This window comes from Homo sapiens, chromosome 1, assembly GCF_000001405.40.
Source record: "Homo sapiens chromosome 1, GRCh38.p14 Primary Assembly".
NCBI lineage: Eukaryota > Metazoa > Chordata > Mammalia > Primates > Hominidae > Homo > Homo sapiens.
The window spans coordinates 104,131,366-104,155,765 of NC_000001.11; the positions used below are offsets into that span (position 1 = coordinate 104,131,366).

At 37.3% G+C, this 24,400-nt stretch overlaps 1 long non-coding RNA gene and 1 pseudogene across 1 annotated transcript, besides 1 other annotated feature; one reads left to right on the forward strand and one right to left on the reverse strand.

The window, feature by feature from the left end:
* Positions 1-839: 839 nt before the first annotated feature.
* On the forward strand, positions 840-19,360 carry LOC105378879 (uncharacterized). Its single transcript, XR_947656.3, has 3 exons — positions 840-988; positions 18,260-18,420; positions 19,139-19,360. It is a non-coding gene; the product is annotated as an uncharacterized LOC105378879 (long non-coding RNA).
* Positions 3,507-4,228: an enhancer, noted in NCBI's record as "OCT4-NANOG-H3K27ac hESC enhancer chr1:104677494-104678215 (GRCh37/hg19 assembly coordinates)". NCBI's record gives its function as "activates a minimal SCP1, AML or CMV promoter by ChIP-STARR-seq in naive H9 embryonic stem cells {active_cell/tissue: H9 hESC(naive)}" and the evidence as "EXISTENCE:reporter gene assay evidence [ECO:0000049][PMID:30033119]".
* A 2,603-nt stretch (positions 19,361-21,963) lies between the features above and the next one.
* FTLP17 (ferritin light chain pseudogene 17) lies at positions 21,964-22,672 on the reverse strand (annotated as a pseudogene).

The following is a 24,400-nucleotide window of genomic DNA, read 5'->3' on the forward strand; positions in this document are numbered from 1 at the left end:
CAATTATTGCCCTTTCATTCTGAAATGTTGATAAAGAATCTCTTAAAATACCATCCTCAAACAAAATTAGTAATAACATCTTAAGACAGGTGTAACTGATCTTCATATGGGGAAGAGGTAGGAATACTGTCACGCTTTGAGAGGAATTTGTTTGATACCCACATGATCCACGTGAGCATTTCTTGGTTTCCCCTTGCCCAATTTAATGAGAAATAGACAAGTGTAGGAATTACACTCTGAAAAAAGCATAGAGATTTTGTGCTCAGATTCTCTACTGCAGGAAAACAACTGAGACTAGAACTGGTGCTAGCTGAGGGTGATGGAAATCTAGAATGGATATTATGAGAGGAAGAGAAGGAATGTTATTTGTGGTCTTAAGAGTAGGCTGCCATCGTGGGGGCTGTTGTTTTTCCAACTTATTTTCTTGGTTTCCCCCAGTGGTTCATGTTCTAGACTAGTTGAAATAAGCCCATTTTACCAGTCTATACTATTGAATGCAGCTATGAAGGCTGGATAGAATGTATAAAGCAACTACCTGAGATTCTGTAAAGTGAATAGTAGCAGGTAGTTTGGGGAAGAAGACCAGAATTTAGAACCTAAGGGGAGTTTACCTTTGTTTTATTTTTATGCTTGTATCCCCTCACCTCAAATCGTTGTAATTTGAAGCACAGAAGGGGCCCCTGAGACATAGAGAGGAAGAGAGCCAAAGAAGCACTCTAGCACTAGCTCAAGGAGCATGAGAAATTCCAATTTTCTACTCTCCTTTTTTCAAATTTCTTCTATCGCAGTTCCAAAGCATGCTGTGTGCAGGCTCCTGCCTTTTCAACAGGAATCTTAAGCCAAAATTCTGAGATGGGGAAACTTCCTCTCTGATCAGTTGAACTGCAATTCCTTAAAGGATAGGGCTGGAGTTTTTCTTCTCTGCTGGTGTTTTTCTTCTCTACTACGTGGCTCCCAATGCAATCATAGAAATGCAGGGCAAAGTGCGGTAAGTAAAGCCACACCTTTCTAATTAGAAGAATAAAAGGGAGGACATTAGAAAACCAGAAAGTGTGGGAGAGATTGTCCAGAGAGGGTTGCTAGAGAAAAGCATAACCTATGAATTAGTTTATGTGGTCTTGGCATCTCTGCTGAGCTGCATATGCATAGATCTGATTCTCACTGGAATGCCAAAGACTGAGAAGTGGACTAACAGGCCATCTGCTGGTCAATGAGTAGAGTTCATGTGGGAGGTAATCAAACAGCCCAGCAAAGACTTTGAATGCTGAAGTGACAATGCAACCACAGTCCTCAGAAGATAGTTGGAACCTGTGGTCTGAAAAAGGCTGCTTATTTTAAGAGAAAAGAAAAATGTTAAGTTAGAAGGTACTCAATTCCTTAAAGCACTGGATTAGAGAAAAACTTGGGATAAACATACAGTCAATTCCTTCAAATGACCAATTGGATTAGATGCCCTCTCTTAGACAAAAAGAGATTTATGCTCACATCCACTGTCAAAAATAAATCAGCTAGCATTGTAGCTCTGGTAGAAACATGTTTAAGTAGAAATGTGAGAAACATAAAAACAGAACAAAACAAAACATCATGTCTGATCTGTTCATTTTTTCCCCAGGTGTTCAGAATACCATTTTATAAAATGTGCCTAATAATTGAAATCTTAGAATATCAATGCTTTAAAAATTATAGGTCAGATTAACCCTACTAAACATTTAATCTTAAGGGGCATGGTTTTTATAGAAAACATTCTTTCAAATTTAAAAAGCTTTTAAATTATAAATATATATTTTTAGGCTAACAGTGGCTCATGCCTGTAATCCCAGCACATTGGGAGTCCAAGGGAGGAGGATTGCCTGAACACAGGAATTTGAAACCAGCCTAGGCATCATAGTGAAACCCTGTCTCTGTAAAATTAAATATATATAGTTTTAAAAAAACATAAGTCATTGCTTTTGAGTGATATTTTGTTTTATTTTTAAGTGCAAGTAAATAACAGTGACAAATTTTCTATTTTTTTCTAGAAAAATTAGATGAAATCTAGATATTAATTGATGAAATGAATAATTCCCCAAGGAGAATAGTTATTTATTCATGAATTATAAAAGACAATTTATTTATAATATGCTAGAATACAGCTTAATTTTGAAGCAATTTCAGGTAGGGACTAATAATTTTCCCTTATGAATTAAATTGTAAGTGTCATTTCAAAGATATTTTTACTTCAGCTTTGGCTTAATGGCATTTCAAATTTCTAATAATTGGATTATATTTAAAGATTCAAAAGGTAAACAATATTTAGGTTTGTTTTTTTCATTTTATAAACCAAAAACACATTTCCCTGATCTCTTTTCTCACATTCACCAAAGGGGAAAAGAAAAGACAATATAGTTAATAATAAGTGAGAAATTAAATACCATTGTTTTATTCCTATGCCTTATTTGGTAGTATGTTTCAAGAGTGTTACAGTTTCTTTAATGGATTTTAACCTATCCAGATTTACTATTTCTTCTTGTGGGTATTGCAATATTATTTTTTGAAAAAAATATCTTTCTTTAATCTATATCTTTAAATATTTAAATTTATACAACTCATATTTTAAATTTATATCTATAGTTACATTTTTTTCATTACTAATATTCTTTCATTAAGCATTCTCTCTGTCTTAAATTTTAGTCTGGTAGGTAGTTTGCCAATTTTGTCTTTTCAAAAACTATGCTTTTCTTCTCCCCTTAATGTATGATTTTACGTTATCATTTTGTTCCTCATCATGTTATAATACATGCTTTTCACTGTTGCTCTTGAATCCCACTTCCTTTGGCTTCATTTTTCCTTTTGTAGAAAGGATGATTTGTGATTCTTAATGTCTTAAAAGTTTTGATTGTACTCACTGAAAATTTTGCAGTACATAAACTTTTTATATTTACAATTCTATCCTCTCAACACTTTTCTCTTAGCATCTACCTTTGTTTATTGGTGATTTGGGGGTATTTTCTTTTCTTCATTCTTCATGTTGAGCAGTATCTCTATGAGGTGATGAGATATTCATTCAAAAAAAAGTTTATTCTACACTCCATGATTCTACAATCTATGATTATTCTACAAACTATGAAATTTTTCAACCTGTGCAATTTTTACAGTAGGTCATCAGGAAGACATGAGCAGGGCAGGAGAGGGCTCCCCCTGCAACCAGGAATGTCAGGCAACCATTAGGTGATGGTCAGGGAGTTGTTAATTGTCTCTCTAAAATAATAATTTTTCACAGCCAGTGCCAGGGAAAGGCAGTCTCCCTATAGATAGGAAAAAAATCAAAACAAAAAAACTGGTGATCAGCAACTTCCTAATAAGATCTCAGGAGTTGGGTGACTAAGCTTATGCGTGAAGGGGTGGCCTGCCCCTCCATACCTGTGGGTGTTTCTCATCAGGTGAAACGAGAGACTTGAGAAAAGAAAGAGACACAGAGACAAAGTATAGAGAAAGAAAAGTGGGCCCAGGGGACCGGTGCTCAGCATACGGAGGACCCATGCTGGCACCAGTCTCTGAGTTCCCTCAGTGTTTATTGATCATTATCTCTACCATCTCAGAGAGGGGGATGTGGCAGGACAATAGGGTAATAGTGGAGAGAGGGTCAACAGGAAAACATGTGAACAAATGTCTCTGCATCATAAACAAGGTAAAGAAAAAAGTGCTGTGCTTTTCATGTGCATATACATAAACATCTCAATGCCTTAAAGAGCAGTATTGCCTCCAGCATGTCTCACCTCCAGCCCTAAGGCGGTTTTTCTCCTATCTCAGTAGATGGAATATACAATCGGGTTTTACACCAAGACACATTCCATTGCCCAGGGACGAGCTGGAGACAGATGCCTTCCTCTTATCTCAACTGCAAAGAGGCCTTCCTCTTTTACTAATCCTCCTCAGCACAGACCCTCTACCGGTGTCGGGCTGGGGGACGGTCAGGTGTTTCCCTTCCCACAAGGCCATATTTCAGACTATCACATGGGGAGAAACCTTGGAAAATACATGGCATTCCTAGACAGAGGTCCCTGAGGCCTTCTGCAGTGTTTTGTGTCCCTGGGTACTTGAGAGTAGGGAGTGGTGATGACTTTTAACAAGCAAGCTGCCTTCAAGCATTTGTTTAACAAAGCACATCCTGCATAGCCCTAAATCCATTTGACCTTGAGTCAAGACAGCATATGTCTCTGCGAGCACGGGGTTGGGGGTAGGGTTACAGATTAACAGCATCTCAAGGCAGAAGAATTTTTCTTAGTACAGAACAAAATGGAGTCTCTTATGTCTACTTCTTTCTACATAGACACAGTAACAGTCTGATCTCTCTTTCTTTTCCCCACACATGCGTGCACATTAAGAGGCAAAATGGCGGAGCATAACTGTTATGTGATCTTCCAGGGGCATTTGGCGGAAGGGAAGAATGCCTCAAGTGAGGATGCATTCAACTCCAGTAAACACACTGTGCATGCTCCCCTCCCAAGCACATTAGGCCACTGTACATGCGGATAGCCCACCCTACAGGAAGAATCAGGGCAGAAGAGATGCAAGACCCCAGAAGCATGCCAACATAGAAATCCCCAAGTCAAAACGTAAAACCACACACTTGTCCTTCAAGTCACCCACTTGACCCTCTTCAAAGTTTCATTCCTTTCCATCATTTCATTCCTGCTCTAAAGCTTTTTAATAAGCTTTCACTCCTGCTCTAAGACTTGACTTGGCATCTTCTTTTACCTATGTCTCTCAGTCGATTCTTTCTTCTGAGGAGCCATGACTTGAGGTTGCTGCAGACCTCCAGGGATTTGATGTCAGTAACATATTTTGGTGCCATGACTTGGATAGCTTCCACCGCTAATACATTTTGCTGCCGTGTGACTTGGATAACTTCCATCACCAACGTACTTTGGTGCTACATGGCTTGGATACATTCCGTAGTGTTAATATACCTTTATGTCTCACCTTCTTTGGCTGGAGGCATTCAACCCTGTACAAGGTTTTCTTCTCTCCTTTTACTCTCCTGCTTACTAACCAACACCCAGAACAATTCTTCTCAGTCATAAGTAACTCTTCTCCACCCAGCTGATCTCTCAGCTCACATGGATGGGTGGCTTTTGGGGGTGGAAAGGATCTTGGGGTCTGCATTGAGTAGAACTGAAGCACTAATGGCCCTCTTGGACAGGAGGCTTGTGAGAGTGGTAGGTCTAAAGCCTAAAACCGTGCAATGTCTTGGGTTTCCTCTGCCTTTTCAATTAAAACCGTCTGTTTCCCAAAAACCTGCACTGCCTATTCTCTCGTTTTCTCTGTGTGTGTTTTACAATGGCCTTGTACACTTGCTGGACCATCCACCTCAGGGGCAAGTCTGCCTCTTTGCTTTCACTTTGCATTCCATGGGATTTCTTAAACACACACTCCCTGCTATTCATGTGCTCATGACTTTTACTGCATTTGCATGTCAGCAAAGACAAGGGCTCCCTTGAGGATATCCCCTGAGATTTATACTTGTTCTTACCCTACCAGCTCGGATGACCTTCAGCCCTTCCCCTGTGTGCTGGCACATTTCTGGGAATGGCACTAATTGGAACTCTGGCTCTGCCAGCTCCTTATGACTTACCACATGGTTTTTGTTCCTGTTATGCTCCAGGGCCAAGTTTTCTGGTGGCTTTTGAAGCAGGTTGTCTGCCTCCATAGGGCCTCACTCTGTGGCCCTTTAAGAATCCCACCTATTGGCTTTTGTGAGCTAGCACCCCTTTGAAAAAAGGGGAAATTCCTCCTTTGCCATCTGTGAGTTCTTATCCCAAGCTCCAAGTCCTCTGGAGGTTACCACTTTATGTCAAGAGGGCAAATAAATGTTGCTCTTGCAAATCCAAAGGCTGCTGTTTTTGTGAGCATATAAAGGCCCTTACGTGAGTATTCCTCATGCATCCTCTCACTTCCTCCCGTAGCCTCCATTTCTCTAATTACATCCACGTCTTTCTCAATATGCATCAAGACCTCCAAGGCTATATTCTAAGGGAGGAAGCAGGGAAGTGCAGCCCCTAAAAAACAGGCTTTTTGTCTACTTAAATAATGTAGGAAATGGGAGTCTGAAAAAAAGATAATCTTTTTTTTTTTTTTTTTTTTTTTTCCTGGAATGCTCCAAGCAAAAGTCACTGTAAGATCATGGAGTCAAGGATATAGGCTGGCCCAAAGTCACAGGCACAAGAGCCCCATAGGGCAGAGATGAAGGTTGGTCCCAGGCTAACAGGTTGCCATTAGAACACAGATGAAAGGTTAGGGGTACAAAGTAAGACTGGTTATTCCAGAATCCCAAGGATGAGTAGAGGGTCCACTGTTCACTCCAGTATCTCCTCTGTTCTCAAGTGCATAACCCTCCAGGTTGCCCTAAGGATAGGCTTCCAGGTAACTGCCATTGGTGCAGGAAGCCAGGCCACTGGAAGGCAAACTGCCCCAATGGCATAAAAATAGGGAAAAGCCCTGCGTGGCTTGTCTTCTCTACCACAAGGGCCCCCAGGACAGAATCCCAACCCTTAATGGCCTTGAGTGGAAGGGATCTCTGCTCCAGCAGCTACCAGCTCAGATATCATCATCAACAGAACAAAGCCAAGGGCAACTCTGGAGGTGGCAAGTAAAATTATAAATGCTCCTTTTGCATTCAAAAGCTGCCTACTCTGTGCTAATCTCCTTCTCTAAGCAACTCTCCTCCAAATAATGTTGGGTAATCAGGGCAAATAATATCCCCTTCCTTCAAAAGGAAAGATTCATACCCCTTTATATTACTTAAGGGACCAATTACCATTCTCCCACCAGTCCCTGGTAAAGTTGAAATACCCCACACCTCTCTAGGGCAAAAATACACTTTCCATGATTTGTGCTCACTTAATATTTACTCCACCTCTGAATTCATTTTTCTCTCTAATATCCCTATTTCTCTCAGACAAGCTAACTAAATTGTTAACCAATAACTTCAACCTGGACAGTCCTACCTCTGGGGTTTAGAAATAACCCACACTTATTCAGGCAAGCCCTAGCAAAAATCTAACTGAGCAGTCTCTTGAGCGGGGATAACTTCTACAGTATGCAGATAACTTCTGTATCTGCTCCCCACTCACAAGATGTGCATAGTAACATACACTACAATCCATAACTTCCTAACAGAAGGAAAATGACTTTTGTCTAATTACAGTTATGGGTGGCATGTGCAGGATCATAGAACATGGGGAGCTTTTTTCTCCCCACAGAGGAAAACTTAAGATCAGATGAGACAGCTGGAAAAGATCCCTTTGCTACTAAAAAGTGGCTGCCTGAACTTTTGATTCACTGTTGCTGCAACGGGTGGGTCTTTCTCTGGCTTCACTGAGCTCCTTGCCTTCCCCAACCCACTGCAGTCAATGCTTTTCTCTCCCTCTTTCTCTCCTTTCCCTTTCCTATATTTTGTGTTAGAACCTGCATTCATATTCTCCTGTTTTCTCTGTGTGTGTTCTAAAATGGCCAACTGGGGGCAAGTTTGAACCTTTCCAGTTCGGTTTTGGTTGCTAAGAGAAGTGGCTAATATCTGTGTTTTGTCAGGCATATTTTGCTCTGGCCAAAATGGAAAATATTAATTTGGTTACTCCAGGAAACCACTTGGGCAGCATCTTACAATATTAAGAGGCTTTTTGGCCTGTGGTTTCATGAAATAAAAAGATAATAATAATTTTTCTTTGTTTTGCCCCTTGGCCCCCAGGGCGACAATACAGAGAGAAAGGTTGCTAGGGCTGCTCAGGGAAAGGGAACCCAGAAACCTGGCATGCTGACAACAGGGTAAATTCTTACCAGTCGGAATTCTGGCCTCTCTCTCTGTGCAAATCTACTGTAGCAATGGTAAAAATCACTGTCTCCTCTGCAACATTTTAATTAGTAAGAAAAAGGATTTGTGAAGCTGGTTTCAGTTTATAAGGAATCTGGTGTATTTTGTGCTATACATTTGTCTTTCTGTGTTGTGGTATATTGGAGAGTGGTACCTCAGGACAAAACATGGGCTTAGGATCTCATAAGCCCACTGGTCAAGGCAGCTTGGGAAACTTACGTTACAAACTTTACTGCAGGTCCTTGAAACAAACAAACCAACCAAAAAGCTAGATGAAGTTTCCCTGTTGTCTTGTTTTAAGTCCTTGGGAGCTTGACCTTGTAACCATGTGGCAATACTTTCTTTTATTCTCTGCTGTCTGGAAGATAGGAATTTTTGACTTTATGTTATAGCTTTTTTTTTTTTTTTTTTTTTTTTTGAGATGGAGTTTCACTCTTGTCTCCCAGGCTAGAGTGCAGTGCCTCACTCTCAGCCCATCACAACCTTCACCTCCCAGGTTCAAGCCATCCTCCTGCCTCATCCCCCTGAGTAGCTGGGATCACAGGCACAGGCCATTAGGCCTGGCTAATTTTTGTATTTCTTTTTTTTTTTTTTTTTTTGTAGAGATTGGATTTCATCCTGTTGGCCAGGCTGGTCTTGTACTTTCAACTTCAGGTGATCTGCCTGCCTCGGCCTCCCAAAGTGTTGGAATTACAGGCATGAGTCACCTTGCCGGGCCACACTAAAAATTATTTTGAGTGAGTTAAAAGCCACTGACAGCTCAAAATTGGCTGCCTCCAGGAACCTTCTGGAAAGAACAATGAAAACTGCCCAATTCTGTAGCTCAGCAGGTAAGTCTTCACCATTTTATAATGGTGGCCAGGGCTCAATTCCTGGTGTAGAGAATGAGTCCTTTCACATTTATGTGAGACCTTTAGCATTTATGGATTCTCTGCCCCTCCATGATCAACTTCTGACTTCTCTTCTTGAATTTTCCTTTCTCTGAGCACCTGTGAGGTTACTTGCCTCAGTCTCTCCTTCTGGCTTATGCCCCTCAGTCAAATTCTTTCTTCCGAGGAGGCAATAATTGAGGTTGCTGCAGATCCATATGGATTCGTGGCTGGTAACAGAAATTTTTTCTGGTAGATTCTGGGAATATCTCTCTCTTTACACACACACCCACATAGTGCCTTTATCTCTCCAAATATCACTTGTTGCTGCTTCTTTATTAGATATTTTGAAACTTCTTGCTCCATTTTCTGTGTTTCTTAGTTTTTCTTTAGTATCATTGATTATTTAAACTTTCTGTGCTACATTCTTAAAGATTTTCTCCATTATATCTTGTAATCAATTAATTTTTCTTCAGCTATATCCAATTGTTAAATTCGCTTTTAGTTGTAACTATTTATGTTGACATTTTTACTGATTTTTATTCCCCAGAGTTCCTATAGAAATTTGCTTGGTGTTTAGCTTCATAACTGTCCTTTCTTGTTTAAGAAATTCTTATTTTTACATACATGATTTCATCACTTTATACAATATCTATAAATACAGTTGCTTTATAGTTATTTTGGATTACTCTAATATTTTTTCCTTTTCTTTTGGCATTTTGTTCAGTGTGTTGATTGTCTTTCTTGGAAGTATATGTTCTTTTAAATTTGGTATTTTATGTTGAGGAGCTAAACTCCTGACCAAGTTCCTCCCTTTATGGTAACTTACTGTTTGCTTAAATCCTGGTCCCTCAGAATGGATAGGTCTTTAGTTCAAAGTCTTCCTTGTGGCTATAGGTGCTGAATCTTTAGGTTCTGATCCCATGTGTTCACAGCTGCAAATTGGGAAGCCCATTGAAGCTCTTTTTTTTAATAAATGAGCTTTTTATTTTTTTAAATAAATGGATAACACAGTTCCAGCTTTAGACTTAATGAGTGGATCCTGATTGTAATTTTCTGCCAAATGCAAGACGCTTGTCTTCTCAGGTGGCCTTCGAACTCATGCTGTTTTTCTCACATCAAATCACAAAATTCAGTACCTTCTCACCATCATGAGTTTAATTTGTATTTTTAATCAAGATATTTCTTTCTTATTTTCAAATATAGCTACATATTTTTAACCAACAGTACTGAAGTGCACTTGTGTACAACTGTAGTTTGTATACAATGAAATGTACTCATTTTAAAGACACGCTTCATTGAGTGTTGACCAATGTATGCACAATCAAGGTATATAATAAAGGTATATAATAGCTCCATTACCACATCAAGTTGCTTTATGTTCATTTTCTTATTTTTTATATAATTTTAGAAACAATTTTAAACTTATAGAAAAATTGTACCACAAATGACTTTTTTCCTAAACCATTTGAAAATAAGTTGTCAACCCAATGCTCCATTGCCCTGAATATAATTTGGATAATTCTTAAAAACAAACTTGTCTTCTTATATAACCGCAATTACGACTATCAAAATAAAGAAATTGACAGTCATACATTACTACATATAATCTTCAGACCTCATTCAAATTTTTCTATATTTTTCAGTAATGTACCTTATGGCAAAATAATATTGTTCAAAATAATGTATTATATTTAGTTGACAGGTTTTTATAAGTCTCTTCCAGCCAGAACATTTCTGCAGTTTTACTTTCACTTCTGTGACTGAAATTTAAAGATAACAGATCCATTATTTTGCAGAATGCCCTCAATTGTTTTTTGACTGATATTTTTTCATAACTAGATTTAGATTATGTTTCATTGGCAAGAGTATTAGACAAATAATATGTGTTCTTCTCATTGCTTTCTCCCAGTTGTGTACAGGTTCAGGTTACCTTTCTTATTACTGTGTTGTTTACTTTGATTCTTTCATTAAAAGTCATGTCTTAACAGCTTTCTCTCCTGTGAAGAGACTCTTTTGCCCTTTTTAATTATTGAATAATTTGTGTAGAGGTGCAGTACTTTGGAATAACTCAATATAATATTCAACTTTCAATATATTAATATATTTATATATTATTTCAGTGTGGATGCATGCATTATCATTTTATTTAATGGATAACAACTTATTGTTAATTTTTATTTTGATACTGATATTTTCTTAGAGTTGGCCAGTGAGAGAGAGTTCCTTCAAGCTGGCTTCTATGTCCTCTGGACATGTTCCTATTCTTCTTTAAGCACTTCCTTGCTATCTGGCACAATAAATGTTCCAGGCTCATCTTCTAATTTCCCTGCTCCACCTGCAGATTTAGCCATTTCTCCAAGGACCCTTGGTTCCTTTTAGTGGATAATGATATTTATAATTCAGCATGTGGATACTAGGTGCACTCATTACTATTGGGGTTTTATTGTGCCCAGATTCTCTCAGTGAATAGACATATACCATATATATCTATATATATCTATATATATAATATATAGATATATATACACACACACAAACACACACATATATACATATCTGTGTATATATGTGTGTGTTTATACATGTATATGTATGTGTATAGCCCACCCCAGGCTTTGCCCTCATGTTGGTGCCATACTTACTCCACTCAGATTCTGATAGCCCACATCAGGCTGCCCATTTACATGAACAGCCTCTTTGCAGCACTTGTGCTGGACGCCTCACCCATGCCAGGCCCACAACCTGTGACGATGCCTTCTCACTCTGCTCCAGCATGACTCTCAGTGCCAGATGCTCTTCCGCACTTTCAAATGTTAGTCTTCATTTTGGTTATATATTGCTCCTTCCTTCCTTTCCTTTTTCTTTTCAACCTCCTGTAGGATATTGTGTGATGAATTATTCATTGTTTATCTATATTTGTTTTCTTTCTTTACACTGGCTTCTGCTTTCTAACCTAAACTATCTGCCTGCACACTGCCTACTTTTCCTCATGCCACAACTTCATCATTTTCCTTCCTTTCACTTTTAGACATTTTAAGAAGTCTATGTTCTTTCTCTTCCCATTCTCAGCCAATCACTATCATCTTGCTTTGAGTCTCATTATTCTAGTAAAAATGATCTCTTTAATTGTAACAGTGACTTCACAAGTTAAAACAGCCTCCTGTTTCAGTTTTTAAGTTGCAATACTTAGTATTCTCACATTATTTTTGAACAATGTCTAAAATGCAAAAAGATTCACTGAAAGAATTACTACTGCTCCTAAAATTCTAAGAAATTCAGGCCTACTGATAGAACAACTCAACAAAATTAAAGAAAAAATATTCTTAATAGTATAACAAAATGAAAATATCAGAACTTTCAAATAAATTAATTTATCTCTGTGCTTAATAATATTTTTCAAAATTTAAATGACATTATAAATGGAATGAAATTAAAATTACCCTATATCATATATTGTATAATGTTAATAAGATCCCAGTAGTACTTATTTCCAAACTACCCAACATTTAAGATATTATGTTACAATAGATTTTTAACTTTAACTTGTACACACACACATATATGTAAATATATATGTATATATATGTGTATATGTATATGTGGGTGTGTGTGTGTCTGTCTATGTGTATGTGTGTGTGTGTGTGTGTGTGTGTGTATATATATATGTATGTATTTAGAGACAGAGCCTTGCTCTGTTGCCCAGGCTGGAGTGCATGCAGTAGTGCAAAGATGGCTCACTGCAACCTGACCTCCTGGGCTCAGGTGATCCTCCTGCCTCACCTTCTGAGTGGCAGGGACTGCAGGGGTGTGCAATCATGCCCAGCTAATTTTTAAAATTTTTTATAGAGATGGGATCTTGTTGTGTTGCCCAGGCTGGTCTTGAACTCCTAGTGTCAAATGATTCTCTTACCTTGGCCTCCTAAAGTGTTGGGATTACAGGTGTAAGCCATAGCACCAGGCTTTAAGTTTTGACAGCAATAAAATTCATTTTTATACTAAAATATAGATGAATAAATAGGTAACTTCTGTTTATAATAAGGTAAACCTCTTGTGTGCTTTGAAAAGCTTTGAGAAAAAAGTCAATCATGGAATGGTTCGAGAAAAATATTTAAAAAGATGCAATATATATTTAAACTTACATAAATTTGAGTACCAGAACAAATCATCTTACCTTTATAAATTGATGGAAATGACATTATTTGGATGGGCTTTAAAGCACTTGAATTTATAAATATTTGGTGAGAATGCCTAATCACATTTATGTTTCCCTTGTTTAAAAGAATGATCACATGCTGGCAAAGGCTAAATATGGTCTGGTTACCTGATTTAGCATACAAATATTTGCCTGGGAGCAAGCCGTGTAACCATGCTTCATTATAACTGGTAATTGGGTAGCTGGCAAAGGATAGATAACTCTGTGAGAAAAGGAAACACAAAAAGGAGTTCAGGCTGTTTATCCCAATCCCAAGATGCACATTCATAGGGAAATTGTGTACTTTATAACTACACTGGTAAGTTAAGGATTAATTTATTTGAACAAATATTTATTGAGCACCTACTATGTCACTGGGCTAGTTGCTAGAACAACAAAATTGAATACAAGGCACAGTTTCCCTAAAGAATTGATCTTATAGTTTAGTGACTTTAGTGTTGAAAACTGATACACAAGCAGCACATTTCATTATAAGATTTTAAGTGCTATGATAAAGATATGTTCAAGATGTTTTTCTGCTGATTAAGAAGTCCCTGAGACAATGCCAGTCCTGAGGCTAAGATACTTTAATACACAAATCACTTTGTGTGATGATGTTTTTCTTTTGTCATCAGAAACTCCTGTAGAATGATTTAAGCTCTATGCCTTGTATATAAAGCTGCTCCTACAACTTGCTTATAAACTTGATTCTGAAAGTACGTATATGTAGTATGCGTCAAATGTAAATACACAATAGGGATTTAGTTAGAGTTATTTGTTTTAAAATGTCTTTTCATCTTTTAAATGTTGCAGCAGATCAATTATGAAAGCACTGCTCAGTATTGATATGGCAGGTTACATGGCCTGTGTTTGTTTGACTGCTCCCAGTAAATCACATTCTTACTCAGTTGGCAGTCTGAGAAGGGGAAGCCCAAGGATATCTCTGGTATTTTGACAAGTAGACTTTGCAATACACAGGAGGAACTGCTATTCCTCTGCTGGTGAAGAGAGGACAGCCCAGCTCCTTCTTAAATATGTATTTGTCTGGAGTATGAAAACCAAAGTCTTTTTTCTCTTCCTTGACTAGCCATCTTTCCCTTTCCTAACAAGTTCTCTGGAGGATTGAGAGACAATCTTCTGCAAGCAATTTTTATTTGCATTTGTCGTAATTAATATAGTTAAAAGATATGCATTCTTTCAAATTCATATATTTATTGAATTGTGTGTCTTTTGCTCACTTTTATCTTTTGGAGCTTTAATATTTTTCTGTTTGTACAAAACGTAACACTTTTATAACTTGATTGGAGTAGATTTTACATGTCATATTATGTGAATACTCAATGATTTTTTAGTGAATTTACCAAGTTGTGCAAAATACTGGAAGTCAGTTTCAGAACATTTTCAGCACCCCATTAAGATCATTAATGTCCACTAACTGTTAATCTTCACCTTGCCATCTGTCCCCCATCTCGTCACCATAGAAAACCATTAATCTACTCTGTGTCTATAGATTTGCCTTTTCAGAATATTTTCTATAAATTAGAATCATGAAATATGTGGTGTTTTTTATCTGGCTTCTTGTACTTAGCATGTATCAGTAGTTCATTCTTTTTATCACTGAATAGTAATACATTATAATGGTATTCCATTGATATGTATATCAATTCACCAGTTGATGGGCATTTAAGTTGTTTTCAATTTTTGGTTTAAGAAAAATGCTGCTAAGAACATTCACATGCAAGTCTTTGTGTGGTTATGTAAGATTTAACATTTTTTGACATCATATTGTTGTCATCAGTTTAATATCATTTGAAATCAAAATCAAGTATGTTTTTTCTATTTATATGATTATTGTGAAGATAAAATGCAATATATGAAATTGAATTACTCTTTCTTTATCCACTTTTAAAGCTCTCCCTTGAGATTAATTATAAGTTAAAATGTAAAAACTTGTTTTTGATTGTTTATATTTTTCTTACTCATAATTTTCATTATTGTACTCTTACTCTGTCTTCTAGGAAATTTTCTATGTTGTCTTTTCTATAAATGTTTCTACTTTTTATACCAAAAATCTTGTCCCTTACTGTCTTAAATATCTCACTAATTTATTAACAAGTCAATTTTGTTTTCCTAATAATTTTGCTTTATTTTACATATTTTAATTTTATTTGATCCAGATCCTTTTAATAATTCTACTTTCAGTTCATCCTGCCCTCTCTTTATGGCTCTCAGTTTCTTTTATTTTCCATCTTATTCATCTTTGAAAGTAAATATTGTCTCAGGTTTTAATCTTTTTAAAATTATTTATGCTTTCTGATTTAACACCCTAGCCCATCACTTACTCAGCTACTCAATACCTAAGTTTTCTTGTACATAAAATTTAAAAAAAAGTACCAAATTGGTTCATAGTCAAGAATAATGACAAATCAGTTTCCTAGTAGATGGATAGATAAGTAGAATAAAACCTAGTACCCAAGAAATACACAAAGAAATATAATCTAACTAAATGTTGAGGGAGTCATCCTGAGCTTAAAATAACGAATAGTAAAAGAATGATTTAACATCACCCAGAATTTTAGATCTTACTAAAAAGGAAATTAATTATTTGAATACCTGAAGTATATCTGGGCTACATTAGGCTTCATAAATGTTTTAAGTTATTTAATCTGATTTAATAGTAACATGATTTACCTGAATGCAGTTCTTTCTCTCTTACCAACAGAAGTGAGGTTCAGGGCCAGGCGTGGTGGCTCACACCTGTAATCCCAGCACTTTGGGAGGCCGAGGTGGGCGGATCACGAGGTCAGGAGATTGAGACCATCCTGGCTAACACAGTGAAACCACATCTCTACTAAAAGTACAAAAAAATTAGCCGGGCTTGGTGGCAGGCTCCTGTAGTCCCAGCTACTCGGGAGGCTGAGGCAGGAGAATGGCATGAACCCGGGAGGCAGAGCTTGCAGTGAGCGGAGATCATGCCACTGGACTCCAGCCTGGGTGACAGAGTGAGACTCCGTCTCAAAAAAAAAAAAAAAAAAAAAAAAAAAAGTGAAGTTCAGAAAGATTAAGATTGTAAAGAATTCTGGTTTTTTTGGCTTTGCTTCTGTAACACTATGCACTTCTTTTGGCAGTTTTTATATCGGGCTGTGTAGTTCATTGTACAAGCCCTTAGACAGCATATATAAGTAAGAGCTGACTGTGGCCAATGGCTGGGTATATACTTGATCCTTGTTTACTAGCAGAAGCTCTCTGTTACCTCAGATAATGGGCTGATTCATGGAATGCACTGTGCTCTGGGCTCGCTGCTTAGTTGTGGTGTTGGAGGACAAGGGAGTCAGGAAGGGCAGGTCTGACCGAAGGTCCTCTGTGGCAGGCACAAACACCAGTGCCAAGGGAGAATCCAGTGGGTGGTCACCAAACACCTAGAGCTTCCTCGGTTCTAAATTATCTGCTTAGGGATGGAGGGGAGCCTAAGCTCCTAATCTAGGAGAGTGGGTGCTCCAGATGCCTCGAGATCTGCTGGGATGTGGAGCAGAGAGGGTTCCCTTGCTCAAAGATCTCCACACAGGACAGGTTGGGTGACTCAGGCTGTTGCACCAGGCAAGTAGGTGCTCCCAAAGCCTGGAGATTTGCCTGGACCTAGAGCAGAGAGAGTCCCACAATGACAGCAAAAAATTGACAAGCGGAGCAAAATTAAACAAGAGCTTCTGCATAGCAAAAAAAAAAAAAAAAAAAAAAAAAATCTATCAACATAGTAATAGACAACCTATGGAATAAGATAAAATATTAACAAGCTATGCATCTGACACAGGTCTAATATTCAGAATCTATAAGGAAATTAATCACACAAGCAAAAAACAAATAACCCCATTAAATATCCCCACAAATAACCCATTTAAAAAATGGGCAAGAGGCATGAACAGACACTTCTCAATAGAAGATATACAAGTGAGAAACAAACATGAGAAAATGCTCATCATCACTAACCATCAGACAAATACCAGTTAAAACCACAGTGAGATATTATCTCATACCAGTCCAAATGGCCATTATTAAAAAGTCATAAAACAACAGAAGCTGAAGCTGGAAAGGCTGCTGAGAAAATGGAATGCTTATATACTTTTGGGAATGTAAATTAATTCAGCTACTGTGGAAAGCAGTTTGGAGATTTATCAAAGAACTTAGAACTACCATTCGACCCAGAAATCCCATTACTGGGTATATATACAAAAGAAAACAAATTGTTCTATCAAAAAGACACATTTACTTGCATGTTCATCTTAGTGCTATTCACAATAGCAAAGACGTAAAATCAACCAAGATGCCCATCTATAGTAGAGTAAATAAAGAAAATGTGGTACATATACACAAAAGGATAGTGCACAGTCAACCAAAAGAATCAAATAATGTCCTTTGCAGCAACATAGACATAGCTGGAGGCCATTATCCTTAGTAGATTAATGGAGGAACAGAAAACCAAATACCACATGTTCTCACTTATAATTGGGAGCTAAACACTGGGTACTAATGGACATAAAGGTGGCAGCAATAGACACTAGGGACTACTAGAGGAGAGAGGTGGGAAGGGGGTAAAGGGGTGAAAAAACTCCTGAGCACTATGCTTAGTACTTGGGTGATGGGGTCATTTAGACCCAAAACCTCTGCATCAGGAAATATATACCTAGGTAACAATACAGGACATGTACTACCTGAATCTAAAATAAAAATTGAATAAAAAAGAAAGATTAAGAAATTTTCTGAAACTCACACGGCTATGAGAATTTATGTGTGGAACTGAATTATAACAAATTTGTTATAAATAAAAAGTATGTTCTTTTTACTATACTACATGCACAGTGATTATGATAAATGTTGTTAAAACTTTAATCAGCTCACATAATCTTGGGGTTTTAATTTACTATTTCTTAAATTGTCTCTGGGAGAAAATAGATATTGTGAGCTCCATTATGCCCTAAAAATGTGTAGAGCTATCTACATGTCCTTGCCATATGCTATTTCATGGATGCCATCCCAAAGCCTTTCTACTGCAAGCTCCACTGACTCATTCATTGCCTGAGAACTTTCTCTGTCTCAAAGGTTCTTACACAATTTAAAATTCCAAGGAATTAACTTCTTTGGGAGCATCCTTCAACTACTGAAGTTCTTGTGCTTCAGTGTGAAAACAGTGAAGGGTGCTCTTTAAAATCTCTCGAGATCCCTGGGTGCTTGAGCCCTAGATAAACACAGTAATAAATTATTCATAAACACTAATTAACATTCCATTTTATTGGCATTTTATCCTTCTTTGTTGCACTTTTCCTCTGCTCCATCGGTGCTTCCTGGGATCAGATCCTCTCCCAAAAAAACTATGTGTATTCACGTCCATGTCTCAACATCAGCTTCTGAGGGAATGCAACTTAAAACAAAGGGATCCATTGTGAAAATATAAATTGTTTCAAAATTTATACAATTTATATCAATTCCTGGATGATATATGAAGGATTATTAAGGTAATTTAATTATCTTTGATATTTAATATTTTATATTTGTATTGAATTAAGAATTGATTTGTGAGAAGAAAAATGACAATATTTCCTTGTTTTTGATTTCATTTTCTTTTAATTGGACCATATGCAGCCATATAAAACTAATTATTCTTTCAATTATTGAAGCATTTAATTTCTAGTAACCAAATATGTAAATAATTAGGTATAGTTTTCAGTATACTGAATATTTCACATTAATCTAAATATCTGTTATAATAAATACCTAGTCTATTAATACTCATTCCCTTTGATAAATATCATTAGAAAAAATTTGCTGTAGAACATTATATTTGAATATATTTAACAGTGATGTTAGCATTATTATTATAATTTTATTGCCAGTTATTAAAATATGTCCATGTGTTTAAACTAAGCATATGTTTTTCTATTATGAATATCTTTCCTTTTCTTATAGAAATGATAAAGAATCCCTTGGATATCAGATCTCATACATTTAAATATGTAAAGATTACAATTTGATTCCAGGAGTTGGAGTTAAACATTTGTCTAATTGTGTTTTTACATATTTTTGGAGAAAATCACTCTGATCATCCTGAGATTGTTAGAAATATAGAAATTATAAGTAGATACCAGACATAAAAACTGAATAAACTAGAACTGCATGCTTTACTGTTTGTTCTTAGAAGTGTTTCATTTCTGCTGCTGTGGTTATCTTTTTCAGAGGTTGCTCAAATTCCATGAGGACTTCTTTTGGATAGCTTACCACAAAGATTACATTCTCTTTGGAGTTCAGATACCATACATCAAAACACTGGAGCTTTTGCAAGTTTTCTCTCAACAGGGGAAATATATCCCCTGCAAACTAAAGGCAAAGTCAAAAGAGCAGTAAACAACTTTCTAACTTTCTTCTCTTGGCTTCCTTCATTAAAAAATATAACTACACTATGCTCTCCTTATAGTATGCTTCATTATTCACACTAAATCAATGACAAGAATGTTGTTAAGTATGTAATTACAATAGGCACATTCTTATATTTGCTTGCTTCTTCTTGGTTTATGGCTTGCTTAAATATAAGCAAGAAATAATCTTGTTTTTGAAACAAATATTTTCTAAGTTTAATTATTGCATGTTTCAAAGTAGACAAATATCAGCCTTTCTGGAATAATATAATGGAAGGATATAAACAAAAGCAAATCACATGTTTACTTTAGCTAATTGTGCTGTATCCTCTTATATTTTACCCTCTCTTGAAAATAGGGAACATTCAAGTTCTAGAATTGATTTATAACCATGAATGATTATAACAAGTGACTGTCCTCCCCTTGAGTTTTATTGCACATACCCAGTTTGAAAGACTTACAGTGATGTTTCCCAGTATAACTGTATTTTATCAAGTTCTTTGATTTCCAGTTATGATCTTGGTTTTTTATCTAATTTTTAATTTTATTATATAAATTTATAACTCATATTTCCATAATAAGCATGCCTGCTTATTTCCCAATGTCCTTTATCCTGTTAATTGCTTTTAATCTTAAATTCCACCTTGTCTTATATTAATACCACTATACTTGCTTGTCGTTTGTTTGCATACACCTGTTATCTCTTTGTTCATCTTTTAATTTTAACCTTTAATTCTTACCATGTTTAGGGTGTCTTTATTGTAAAGATCCTTTAGAATTTTTTTTAACCTTAAACTGATTTCTGTGTTTTAGTTGAAGAATTTAATCCACTAACATTATATGTAATTAATGATATACTAAATTTTTATTTTACTTCATATTTATTACTTATTTTATCGTTTTCTTTTTATCACTTCATTCATGTTTGCTTCTGTGTTCAAAGTCTTCTTCATTACTCTTTCTTTTCCTTGGTAGATGGAAATACTGTACATTTCCATTTATTAACACTTATACTCACTTTTCCTGATGTCATAATCAAGCACTATGCCCCAAATGTTTTCCCATGACAGATGCTCAAATTCCCCCAAATACAAATAAGATGGAGCTTTCCAGTATTCTAATTTCCAGTACTCTCATTCCCCATTCTCTTTCTTCATTTCGAAGATACCATAGTAATTTATTTCTTCCCTTCCTTTCTTCGCTTTCTCACTCTCATTGTTTTGCTTTTGTGAAGATAGTCTAGCACTAATTCCTCTTAACGATAGATCCCTTCTATTTTAAAAGTTCTTCTTTAGCTTTTCTACTTCTCATTTCTATGCATTTCTTTAGCTTTTCTACTTCTCATTTCTATGCAGTCTTTATTTGTCCATAAGCATATCTCACAAGGTTTATTGCTCACTTCTTTCCTCTAGTTATTTCCTCATCTTAAAATCCACATTATTTTTCATTTGATGTTTGCTTAGAATCTTTTTTCAGATGTTTGTTTCAAGTTTGGAGTATGATGACAATATATACTCTAGGAATTCTTTCCTGGCTTCAAATATTTTTCTTTTTCTCTGGCAGATAAATAACATATTTGGGTTGAAATCTTTCCCTGCCAGTAATATATCAATACTGTTCAACTGTTTTCTAGCTTCCAGTGCTGCAAAAGGAGATGCACTTTGCCAGTCTGAATATATATGTATGTATATATATATACATATATATATATTTCCTAGGTAAAAATTTTGTTTTCTCTCTAGAAGCTCATGATATTTCCTTTCAACCTAACACATGTTATTATGATTTTCATTATTGTGTATCTAGCCTAGAACTTAGGAAGATTTTTGATCTACAAACTGACGTATCTTTGATCAATTTTTATTTCTATTATTTGTTTAACTATTGCCTCACCATTTATTATTATTATTATTATTATTATTATACTTTAAGTTTTAGGGTACATGTGTACAATGTGCAGGTTTGTTACGTATGTATACATGTGCCATGTTGGTGTGCTGCACCCATTAACTCGTCATTTAGCATTAGGTATATCTCCTAATGCTATCCCTCCCGCCTCCCCCAACCCCACAACAGGCCCCACTGTGTGATGTTCCCCTTCCTGTGTCCATGTGTTCTCATTGTTCAATTCCCACCTATGAGTGAGAACATGTGGTGTTTGGTTTTTTGTCCTTGTGATAGTTTGCTGAGAATGATGGTTTCCAGCTTCATCCATGTCCCTACAAAGGACATGAACTCACCATTTTTTATGGCTGCATAGTATTCCATGGTGTATATGTGCCACATTTTCTTAATCCAGAAAATGTGGCACATATACGCCATTTTTACTAGCACATTTTTTTTTCATTTCTGCTACTTCTGAAACTTTTATAGTTCATGTTTTAGCGCTCCTGAATCTATACTCCAGTCCAGTCTCTTGATTTTTGTATTACGATTTCTGTATTTTTGCACTGTGTTTTTCTTTTCTTTTCTGCTTCAAAAAACTTTATTTCCACTTGTTCCGAGGATTGGGAGAATGCTCCAGGGTAGTTCAAAAAGCTGCCTAGTGGCTGCAGGGGGGCTTAGGCGGAAGCCCTGTTGCTCTACGAGGGGCCCTTCAGAAGTCGCTGGGGGCAGTAGGCTCCTAGTCGTGCTTGAGAGTGAGCCTTTTGAAGACATATTCACCCGGCCTAGCCTCTGGGCTAGCCAGCCTATGAAGATTGGTCAGGTGGTCACTCATCTTCTTGAGGAGTTTCTCTTCCTCATCTAGGAAGTGACTCTCCAGGGAGCAAGAGAGATGGGATTATGTGTGAGTAGAACTGAGGGTATGAAGATCCGAAAGGGCCTGATTTAGTTTTTTCTCCAGGCTATGGTGGCTTCCGTCGCGTCCAGGGTTTTATCCGTACTCATCTTGAGCCGGCATCTGGATGTCATGGAAGAGAGCGCAGCTGCCGTGTTGGCTTTGCATTTTCAGGAAACGCTCTGTGCCCTGGCGCTTCTCCTCAGCCAATTCGCCAAAGTGACCCATGCCTTCCAGAGACACATTATCACGGTGGGAATAGAAGCCCAGACAGAGGCAGATGTAGGAGGCCCGCAGGTGCAAATTGACCAGGCGGTTGATGGTAGCCTCACCCTCCGTGGAATAATTTTGATGAATCTGGGAGCTCATGGTTGGTTGGCAAGAAGGAGCTAACCACAAAAACGGTGTTGGCTGGTCCCAGAAGCAGAAGATGGCCAAGAAGATGGTCCCGGAGATTGCAAGTGGAGAGGAGATCCCAAGGTGGTCAGAGGCTGGAAGAAAGAGAGTCCCTGGATCAGTTCCGTCCAAACACTGTTGAAGCAAGACACAGATCTCTGGGCCCTCTGAATGGGCTGCCAATGTATTTCTTTCTTTTTTGAGACAGAGTCTCGCTCTGTCACCCAGGCTGGAGTGCAGTGACTTCCGCATCCCGGGTTCAAGCAATTCTTTCTCAGCCTCCCGAGTAGCTGGGATTACTGGTGCACGCCACCAGGCCCAGCTAATTTTGTATTTTTAATAGAGACGGGGTTTCACCATGTTTGCCAGGCTGGTCTCAAACTCCTGACCTCAGGTAATCCACCCGCCTCAGCCTCCCGAAGTGCTGGGATTACAAAGGCTTGAGTCACTGCGCCCGGTCGATATTTCTTACCCTGGATCTTCTGGGTCACTAGTCTGTTTCACCAGTGACTATCCTCTCCTTAAGTTTATCTCTTAAGACTTTATGTGAAAAAAAAAATCATAGGTTTCTCAATCACCAAATATCTCATATGTGGGTGTGTATGTGTGATGTACTTCAATATCTTTAAACTCTTCTGGTAGCCACATTCTTTAGCACTTCTGCTTCTCTGAATGTGTTTTATTATTGTCCTGCCAACTCTTTTTTGATTTGGCTGCTGAGTCCCTTTGAAGAGCTATTACTTTTGTTATTGTTTTCACTTGTTTGTCTGAAGTCTAGTTGTTAGAGGTTAAAACAAGCAAACAAAACAATCCCATAAATGGATTTATGTTGTATAATATAAATAGTTTGTCAGTCATATGATAAAGCACTTGGGGAAAACCTTCAAATTCTTCAACCTCCTGAACTTACCAAGCCTCCAGAGCAGGAAAGGTCTGGCCACTTATTCTGCTTCCTCTTGACATTTTGGGGGACAATGACAGCAAGCCCACTTATGAGGAAGCTGATATCACCCTTTTCTTGGTGAATCCCCTAATCTCTGCCAAGATTTTCCACAATTCCAATATGCCCTATCCCTTACTCCTTGGTATTGACACTGCTCTCTGTGTTCTCAATACTTGGCCAGTCTCTGGGGAAGAAAGTTCAGTGCCACTTCTCCCTTTCACTGTATGTTGAAACCCCAACAGAGTTCCTGGCCTCGTTTGAAAAATGTCTACCTAAAAGATCCAGAAGTTGGTCCCGTGTGTCTTCAAAACTAACAGTTTAAAGCTTTAGTATTTTTGCCTCGATGCACGTATAATCAGAATAATTTTTATTAACTGGATTCTACTGATAAAGTGATTTTCCACATGTGGTTTTAATGATCATATAGTTTCATATCCTTAGAAAAGAAATTTTAAAGCCACTAATAAAAGATGAATGGATATGGAAAAAAGGGTCTGTTAATGGGTGAATGGATAAAGAAAATATGGTATATATACACAATAGAATCTTGTTCAGCCTTTTAAAAAAGGGAAATCTTGGCCAGACACAGTGGCTCACACCTGAAATCTCACCACTTTGGGAGGCTGAGGCAGACAGATCTCTTGAGCCCATGACTTCAAGATCAACCTGGGTAAGGTGGTGAAACCCTGTCTCTACAAAACAGTACAAAAACTAGCCAGGCATGAAGGTATGGACCTGTAGTCCTAGCTACTGGGGATTGGGGGTTGGGGCTCAAGTGGAAGTTTGCTTAAGCACAGGAGGTTGAGGCTGCAGTGAGCTGAGATCATGTCATTGCACTCCAGACTGGGAAACAGAGAGACAGAAACCCTGTCAAAAAAAAAAAAAAAAAAAAAAAAAAAAGGGAAATCTTTCTGCCATTTGCAAGCAACAACGTTAATGAACCTGGAGAACATTATACAAAGTGA